The 9,268-nt window shown below is 38.9% G+C and overlaps 1 annotated feature.

Annotated features, from left to right (window-relative positions):
* Nucleotides 8,604-8,673: an enhancer, noted in NCBI's record as "active region_4378". NCBI's record gives its function as "activates an Ori minimal core promoter by ATAC-STARR-seq in GM12878 lymphoblastoid cells {active_cell/tissue: GM12878}" and the evidence as "EXISTENCE:reporter gene assay evidence [ECO:0000049][PMID:35858748]".

The raw sequence follows: 9,268 nt of genomic DNA, 5'->3' as shown, positions 1-9,268 counted from the left end.
GTTTGCCAGTATTTTATTGAGGATTTTAGCATTGATGTTCATCAGGGATATTGGTCTAAAATTATCTTTTTTTGTTGTGTCTCTGCCAGGCTTTGGTATCAAGATGATGCTGGCCTCATAAAATGAGTTAGGGAGGATTCCCTCTTTTTCTATTGATTGGAATTGTTTCAGAAGGAATGGTACCAGCTCCTCCTTGTACCTCTGGTAGAACTTGGCTCTGAATTGGTCTGGTCCTGGACTTTTTTTGGTTGGTAGGCTATTAATTATTGCCTCAATTTCAGAGACTGTTATTGGTCTATTCAGGGATTCAACTTCTTCCTGGTTTAGTCTTGGGGGGGTGTATGTGTCGAGGAATTTATCCATTTTTTCTAGACTTTCTAGTTTATTTGCATAGAGGTGTTTATAGTATTCTCTGATGGTAGTTCGTATTTCTGTGGGATCGGTGGTGATACCCCCTTTATCATTTTTTATTGCATCTATTTGATTCTTCTCTCTTTTCTTCTTTATTAGTCTTGCTAGCGGTCTAACAATTTTGTTCATGTTTTCAAAAAAGCAGCTCCTGGATTCATTGATTTTTTGAGGGGTTTTTTGTGTCTCTATTTCCTTCAGTTCTGCTCTAATCTTAGTTATTTCTTGCCTTCTTCCAGCTTTTGAATGTGTTTGCTCTTGCTTCTCTAGTTCTTTTAATTGTGATGTTAGGGTGTCAATTTTAGATCTTTCCTGCTTTCTCTTGATGGCATTTAGTGCTATAAATTTCCCTCTACACACTGCTTTAAATGTGTCCCAGAGATTCTGCTATGTAGTGTCTTTGTTCTCATTGGTTTCCAAGAACATCTTTATTTCTGCCTTCATTTCGTTATGTACCCAGTAGTCACTCAGGAGCAGGTTGTTCAGTTTCCATGTAGTTGAGCGGTTTTGAGTGAGTTTCTTAATCCTGAGTTCTAATTTGATTGCACTGTGGTCTGAGAGACAGTTTGTTATAATTTCTGTTATTTTACATTTGCTGAGGAGTGCTTTACTTCCAACTATGTGGTCAATTTTGGAAGAAGTGTGATGTGGTGCTGAGAAGAATGTATATTCTGTTGATTTGGGGTGGAGAGTTCTGTAGATGTCTATTAGGTCTGCTTGGTGCAGAGCTGAGTTCAATTCCTGGATATCCTTGTTAACTTTCTGTCTCGTGGATCTGTCTAATGTTGACAATGGGGTGTTAAAGTCTCCCATTATTATTGTGTGGGAGTCTAAGTCTCTTTGTAGGTCTCTAAGGACTTGCTTTATGAATCTGGGTGCTCCTGTATTGGGTGCATATATATTTAGGATAGTGAGCTCTTCTTGTTGAATTGATCCCTTTACCATTATGTAATGGCCTTCTTTGTCTCTTTTGATCTTTGTTGGTTTAAAGTCTGTTTTATCAGAGACTAGAATTGCAACCCCTGCCTTTTTTTGTTTTCCATTTGCTTGGTAGATCTTTCTCCGTCCCTTTATTTTGAGCCTATGTGTGTCTTTGCACATAAGATGAATCTCCTGAATACAGCACACTGATGGGTCTTGACTCTTTATCCAATTTGCCAGTCTGTGTCTTTTTATTAGGGCATTTAGCCCATTTACATTTAAGGTTAATATTGTTATGTGTGAATTAGATCCTGTCATTATGATGTTAGCTGGTTATTTTGCCTGTTAGTTGATGCAGTTTCTTCCTAGCATTGATGGTCTTTACAATTTGGCATGTTTTTGCAGTTGTTGGTACCGGTTGTTCCTTTCCATGTTTAGTGCTTCCTTCAGGAGCTCTTGTAGGGCAGGCCTGGTGGTGACAAAATCTCTCAGCATTTGCTTGTCTGTATAGGATTTTATTTCTCCTTCACTTATGAAGCTTAGTTTGGCTGGATATGAAATTCTGGGTTGAAAATTCTTTTCTTTAAGAATGTTGAATATTGGCCCCCACTCTCTGCTGGCTTGTAGTGTTCCTGCCAAGAGATCAGCTGTTAGTCTGATGGGCTTTCCTTTGTGGGTAACCTGACCTTTCTCTCTGGCTGCCCTTAACATTTTTTCCTTCATTTCAACTTTGGTGAATCTGACAATTATGTGTCTTGGAGTTGCTCTTCTCGAGGAGTATCTTTGCAGCGTTCTCTGTATTTCCTGAATTTGAATGTTGGCCTGCCTTGCTAGATTGGGGAAGTTCTCCTGGATAATATCCTGAAGAGTGTTTTCCAACTTGGTTCCATTCTCCCCATGACTTTCCGGTACATCAATCAGACGTAGATTTGGTCTTTTCACATAGTCCCATATTTCTTGGAGGCTTTATTCGTTTCTTTTTTACTCTTTTTTTCTCTAAACTTCTCTTCTCACTTCATTTCATTCATTTGATCTTCAATCACTGATACCCTTTCTTCCAGTTGATCAAATCCACTACTGAAGCTTGTGCATTCGTCACGTAGTTCTCATGCCATGGTTTTCAGCTCCATCAGGTCATTTAAGGACTTCTCTACACTGGTTATTCTAGTTAGCCATTCGTTAATCTTTTTTCAAGGTTTTTAGCTTCTTTGTGATGGGTTTGAACTTCCTCCTTTAGCTCAGAGAAGTTTGATCATCTGTAGCCTTTTTCTCTCAACTCGTCAGTGTCACTCTCCGTCCAGCTTTGTTCCATTGCTGGCGAGGAGCTGCATTCCTTTGAAGGGGAGAGGCACTCTGATTTTTAGGATTTTCAGCTTTTCTGCTCTGTTTTTTCCCCATCTTTGTGGTTTTATCTACCTTTGGTCTTTGATGATGGTGACGTACAGATGGGGTTTTGGTGTGGATGTCCTTTCTGCTTGTTAGTTTTCCTTCTATCGGTCAGGACCCTCAGCTGCAGTTCTGTTGGAGTTTGCTGGAGGTCCACTCAAGACCCTGTTTGCCTGGGTATCAGCAGTGGAGGCTGCAGAACAGCGAATATTCCTGAACAGCAAATGTTGCTGCCTGATCATTCCTCTGGAAGCTATATTCCTGAACAGCAAATGTTGCTGCCTGATCATTCCTCTGGAAGCTTCGTCTCAGAGGAGTACCTGGCCGTGTGAGGTGTCATTCTGCCCCTACTGGGGGGTGCCTCCCAGTTAGGCTACTTGGGGGTCAGGGACTCACTTGAGGAGGCAGTCTGTCTGTTCTCAGATCTCAAACTCTGTGCTGGGAGAACCACTACTCTCTTCAAAGCTGTCAGACAGGGACATTTAAGTCTGCAGAGGTTTCTGCTGCCTTTTGTTCAGCTATGCCCTGCCCCTAGAGGTGGAGTCTACAGAGGCAGGCAGGCCTCCTTGAGCTACGGTGGGCTCCACCCAGTTCGAACTTCCCAGCTGCTTTGTTTACCTACTCAAGCCTCAGCAATTGCGGGCGCCCCTCCCCTAGCCTCACTGTCACCTTGCAATTCGGTCTCAGACTGCTGTGCTAGCAATGAGCGAGGCTCCGTGGGCATGGGACCCTCCGAGGCAGGCACGGGATACAATCTCCTGTTGTGCCCTTTGCTAAGACCATTGGAAAAGCACATTATTAGGGTGGGAGTGACCCGATTTTCCAGGTGCCTGATTAGGAAACAATCTACAATACTCCAGTAGACAAAGGATAAAGATTTGAATATTAGTGATAGAAAAATACAAAATACAGAGAACAACCTTGAGAAAGATTTAGGGGAGATAACTGGTAGAAACTGTTGATTGTTGGATGGGGGATTAGATAGAAGGAATAATTTGGATAACTCCTATGGTTCCAACTTAGGTGAGGAAGTGCTTTTACTGACACCAGTCTCCCATTTAAGGTCCCAGGGTAGATTAGGAGAGTAGTGTCTATAAAATCTGTAAATTCTCTCAGTATACCCACTGCCATCAGAGGAACAGTTATTGTGAGATTTAAAGGCCAGCTTTAAGGATAAAAGTTTCTTAATTTCACAGAGACCAGTCTTCTCCAATTTCTGAATTCAACTCTAAATGCCCTGACTCCTTCCCCCTTCTGCCCTGCTTTTTCACCATAATAATGAACATTCGTAAGTGGGCAGCTTTTTGTTTTTTTCCTGAGGTCCTAACCCTGGTCCTTATCTTTTGATAAACAACATCTCCAGTTGTCCTGTAAAAATTTCAGGTGCATCCTGATTCCCACGACATCTTGGAGCATTAGTTATGCAAACTCTATGGTCCTGAATATAAAGATTAGCTTCCTTTGGATACTTTGGCTTCATGTCTCAAAGGTTAAAGTGTTCACAGGTCTCCTATATTTTATGCCATGTATCATCTAAGCCTTCATAATTGTCAGTTAATTCAAGTCAAAGGCTAGTGATAAACATGAACTTTCTGATCTGTTAAGATTTATATATCCTTGTTGGTATGTTTATGAATAATTCAGGGAGAAAGTAGAGGACTGACCACAAACATTGATAATTTCCTGCCATTGTGATCTCAAAGCCAATGAGGGATATTTGCTCAATGCCTGAAAATTGTTTGACATGTAGATATAAGATAATCATTTATCCATTTATTTCAAAAATATTTGTTCAGCATTTATCATAGTCGAGAACTGAGTAAGCACTGAAGGTATATTGATGAATAGAACAGACTTTGCATGAAATTTAGATCTCAGCAAAAACACTAGAAAATGAATCAACATTATAAATACAGAATATGGTAAGTGATGTGGAAGAAATAAATCAATAAGGTTAATATGACTGTTAAGAGTAAATGTGATATAGGTGGTATTACTGTAGGTAAAGTGAAAAGGAAGGCCATGTGGAGCAGGTGATATTTGAGTAGAAAATGGAATGATCAGAAGGACCCATAGATGTGAAGAGTGGAGTCAGGGAAGCTGCCAGACAGGAAACAGGAAATGCAAAGATCCTGATAATCTCAAAAAATAAAAAGAAGGCAATGATAAACCAGATGGAGAGAGGTATACCAAAAGGGTTAGATCATGTTTGGGGGACATCATATGCCATGGAAAAGTGTTTGGATTTTATGCTGAAAGGAATGGGAAGCCTCTAAATGTTTTCTAAATGGGCGTAGCCTAATTACAATTCACACTTTTAAAGAATACCTCTATTGTTGTATGTAAAAATTGACTATAAAAACACATTTTATTATATTACATTATTTCATGAGTCAGAAATTAAGATTGGGTTTGGCTTGGCAATTTTACTCTAATAGCATGAATGAGGATCACTTAGTCATATTCAGATGGCATCTTTGCATGTCTACAGAGTCAAAAATGGCATCATTCAAATGCCCAGCACCTTCACAGGAATGGTTTGAAAGCCTCTCCCTCTCCAGGTAGTCATAGGATCATTCTATATGGTCTCACTAGCAGTTTAGTTGGATTTCTCACATAGTGGCTCAAGACTTTAATAGCAAGTGTTCCAAGAGATTAAAAGAAATCTGCAGTATTTCCTATCACCTAGCCTCAGGAGACGTAGACATCTTGTCCACCTTTGTCTACTGGCAAAGCAAATTAGTAATTTCAGTCCAGATTCAAGGGAAGGGAAATTAGATTCCACCTGTCAATAAGAGAAGTAGCAATGATGTCACAGCCATCTCCAGCCTACCACAATCCCTCTGGCCACAGTTATTTGTATATTTCCTACATGTCAAATTACTTTTATACGTCCTACAGTCCTCTAAAATATCATACCATTACAGCATCACAATTAAGTCCATCATCGTGGGATTTAAACCAAGTTTAGGCATGAGTGAGGTTCCTTGGGCACAGCTTCTCAAATACAGTCCCTCTTGATTGAAAGACATGCGAACTAAAGAGACAAGTCATCTGCCCTATATATTACCCAACAGACACTGTTGATGCTGGTGTAGAAAAACTGCAGTGAACACTCCCATTCATAAGGGTGGAATATAGGAGTCATGTAGCAATCACTGGCCAATTGCAATTCCCAAATCCAACTAGACAGATGTTGCCATTTTCTTGATCAGGGCCCAATCCTGCTCCTTGTTAATAAATCTCTATGTCTCTTGGCTCTGCCTTCTGACTTTTTGGTTCCATCCTCTGAGTTATCCTTCCTTTTCCAGGAAAAAAATAGCCTATGTTATAGCTGAGTAGTTTTCCTGGCCTATTTCCTAATTATTGTAGGTCAAGGGTCCAAAACCTCTTTTCACTTCGCACAAAACCTCTTTTCACTTTGCACTATCCCTGTCCCTTTCAGTCTAAGCTGTTATCATTTCTTCAAACACACTGTGGGAGTCATCATGAAAATACAAATGAAATATTAATGAGATACTACTCTTCACCCCACTAGGATGGCTAGAATTTAAAAGTATGATAATAAAAAGTGTTGGTGAGGATGTGGAAAAATTGAAACCCACATATACTGGTAGGTATGTAAAATGGTGGGATCATTTTGGAAAATAATCTTCCAGTTACTCAAACTATTAAACATAGAAATACCCTATGATCCAGAAATTCTCCTAGATATATGCCCAAGAGAAATAAAAGCATATGTCCACAAAAAAACTCATGCGTGAATGTTTATAGTAGCATTATTTACAATAACCAAAAGGTAGAAGCAATGCATGGATCCATTAACTTACAAGTGAAGGAAGAAAATGTAGTATATCCATATAATGGAATATTATTTAGCCATTGAAAAGAATGGAGAACTGATATATGTCTCAACATGAATGAACCTGGACAACATTACACTAAGTAAAAGAGACTAGTCACAAGAGACCACGTATTATCTAAGGCCATACATATGAAATGTCCATATAGAGACAGAAGGTAGACTGGTGGTTGCTTATGGCTGGGGGGATAGGAATATGTAAGGTGATACTAAAGGATACAGGATTTCTTTTTGAGATGATTAAAACTTTCTAAAATTGACTATGGTGAGGCTTGAAAACATGTGTGCATATGCTACGAACATTAAATCATACACTTTAAATCTGTAGTTTGTATGGTATGTGAACTATATCTCATGGAGGTTGTTAAAAACAACATGGGCTTTCTTTGTATCAAATTATAAACTACTGAATTGGACAAAACTCACACTCATAAATCTCTTCCAGTTAATTCTTCCTCTGGAGGTTTATGAGGTTTCTGCCAGAAGCCTTATGATTTCAAAAGCTTTGTTTTTGGCCGGGCACAGTGGCTCACGCCTGTAATCCCAGCACTTTGGGAGGCCAAGGCGGGTGGACCACGAGGTCAGGAGATTGAGACCATCCTGGCTAACACAGTGAAACCCCATCTCTACTAAAAATACACACACACACACACACACACACACACACACACACAAAATTAGCCGGGCGTGGTGGCAGGTGCCTGTAGTCCCAGCTACTTGGGAGGCTGAGGCAAGAGAATGGCGTGAACCCAGGAGGAGAAGCTTGCAGTGAGCCGAGATAGCGCCACTACACTCCAGTCTGGGCCACAGAGTGAGACTCCATCTCAAAAGAAAAAAAAAAAAATCTTTGTTTTTTAGAAAAAAGAGGGTCTCTAAAACATGCCATTAAGATTCTTAGAAGGACATAGATTAGCTTTAAGGGTCAGTGAGGCCTTAGATCTTTCTGAGGTCTCAGCAGAGGATCTTACAGCCCCAACCTGAATATGATCTTTGACCTGAAGTCACTTCGTACCATGAAAATCTTTCTGGAAGATATCAGGGATGAGAAATAGCCTTATTTTCAAAGCCAGCAAGATCTAGCTTTCTTACATTTTTTCTAAATTTTTCTTTGAAAAAAATTTTCCTTTAGTTCACAGATCTCTGGTTATAGTTTATCATAGGCAACTATAAGAAGCCAGGTAGCACTTTCTGCACTCTTCCTGGAAACCTTCCCAGGCAAATCTAAGAGTATATAAGATACCCTTTCTCTTTTCCACTTTGTCACAGGTGGCAATATTATCAAACTTCATCACTACTCAGCAAATGTGTTCTTTTATTAAGCTCTTAAAAATATTTTCCTTACTATTTTTCAAACCCTTACCATCTATTACTGTTGAATGTAGAAACATGTTAGGTCATAGAGAAATTGAGGTTGCATACATAAATTTTGGAGTAAACAATATTTAAGTGGTGCTATGGTTTGAATGTATGTCCTTCAAAATTCAAGTCTGCCAATGTGATAATATTGAAAGGTGGGGCCTTTAAGAGGTGATTGGGCCACGAAGGTTCATCTCTCATAAATGGAATTAAGTATCCCTTTTAAAAGGCTTGACGGAAGGAGGTCACCTCCTCTTGCCCTTCTCACTTCCCCCATGTATCACCACAGTATTCTTTCCTTCCAGAGGATGCAGCCCTCACTAGACACCAAATGCCAGTGCCTTGATGTTGGACTTCCAACCTCCAGAATTGTGACAAAAAATTCATATTTTTAATAAATTACCCAGTCTGTGGTATGCTGTTATAGCAGCACAAAATGGACTAAGACAAGTGGTATTGTCTTAAAAATCATAAAATTGCATGAGGTCAATAAGTGGCTATAAATGTAAGAATATATAGGATAAGTTATAAGACAGTCTAACATTTAAAGGTCTGGTACAGTTGCAATCTTCAGGAAAGATGAAGACAAATGGACAAGAGAGGTAAGGAAAAACCCAAATTGGGAAAGTGAGATTGCAGAATACAAAAAAAGAAAGTGATTCAAAATAGGAGAAGGTGGTTACTTGTTTAATGCTTCTGAGGTTTGGCAGAGGGGTGGGTGTAGGTAATTTAGCAAGAGCAGTTTCAGAGTGGGTTGAAGCCATGTGGGAAGGTACTTGAGATGGAACTGATAGGTGAAAATAATTTCAGCAAAAGGGTAGGCCGTGAGGCCGGAAGTGGGGAGGATATTTCAGGAACAGTGAGTAACTCACTTTTGCAGGGTCATTGAGTAAGTGGAGGAGAATAGAGAGTTATAATGCTGAAAAACTAATATGGTTATACTAAGGAATTCTTTAAAATCTAACTAAACATTTATGAATGTGAGCAGGATGGCTAAAAGTAAATAAATAAAAGTCTGACTAAAAATTTGAACTTGAATACATTAAGTCCCATCTGGTGTGGATAATTTATTGATGATAAAATCAGGTATATGTGTGTGTGTGTGTGGATATATATATGTATATATAGGTATAAATGTATATATAGGTGTATATATGTGTGTGTATATATATTTATATATGTATATATATTTTTATATATAGGTATATATATTTATATATAGGTATATATATGTATATGTATTTATATATATAGGTGTATATATATATATATATATATATATATATATATATATATATGGAGACCTAGGATATTACTGTATAATACTGTAGACTT

The sequence above is a fragment of the Homo sapiens genome, chromosome 11, assembly GCF_000001405.40.
Source record: "Homo sapiens chromosome 11, GRCh38.p14 Primary Assembly".
In the NCBI taxonomy this organism is placed as follows: Eukaryota; Metazoa; Chordata; class Mammalia; order Primates; family Hominidae; genus Homo; species Homo sapiens.
Note: the sequence above shows the minus strand (reverse complement) of the source record. Positions and strands in the feature narration are given on the sequence as shown.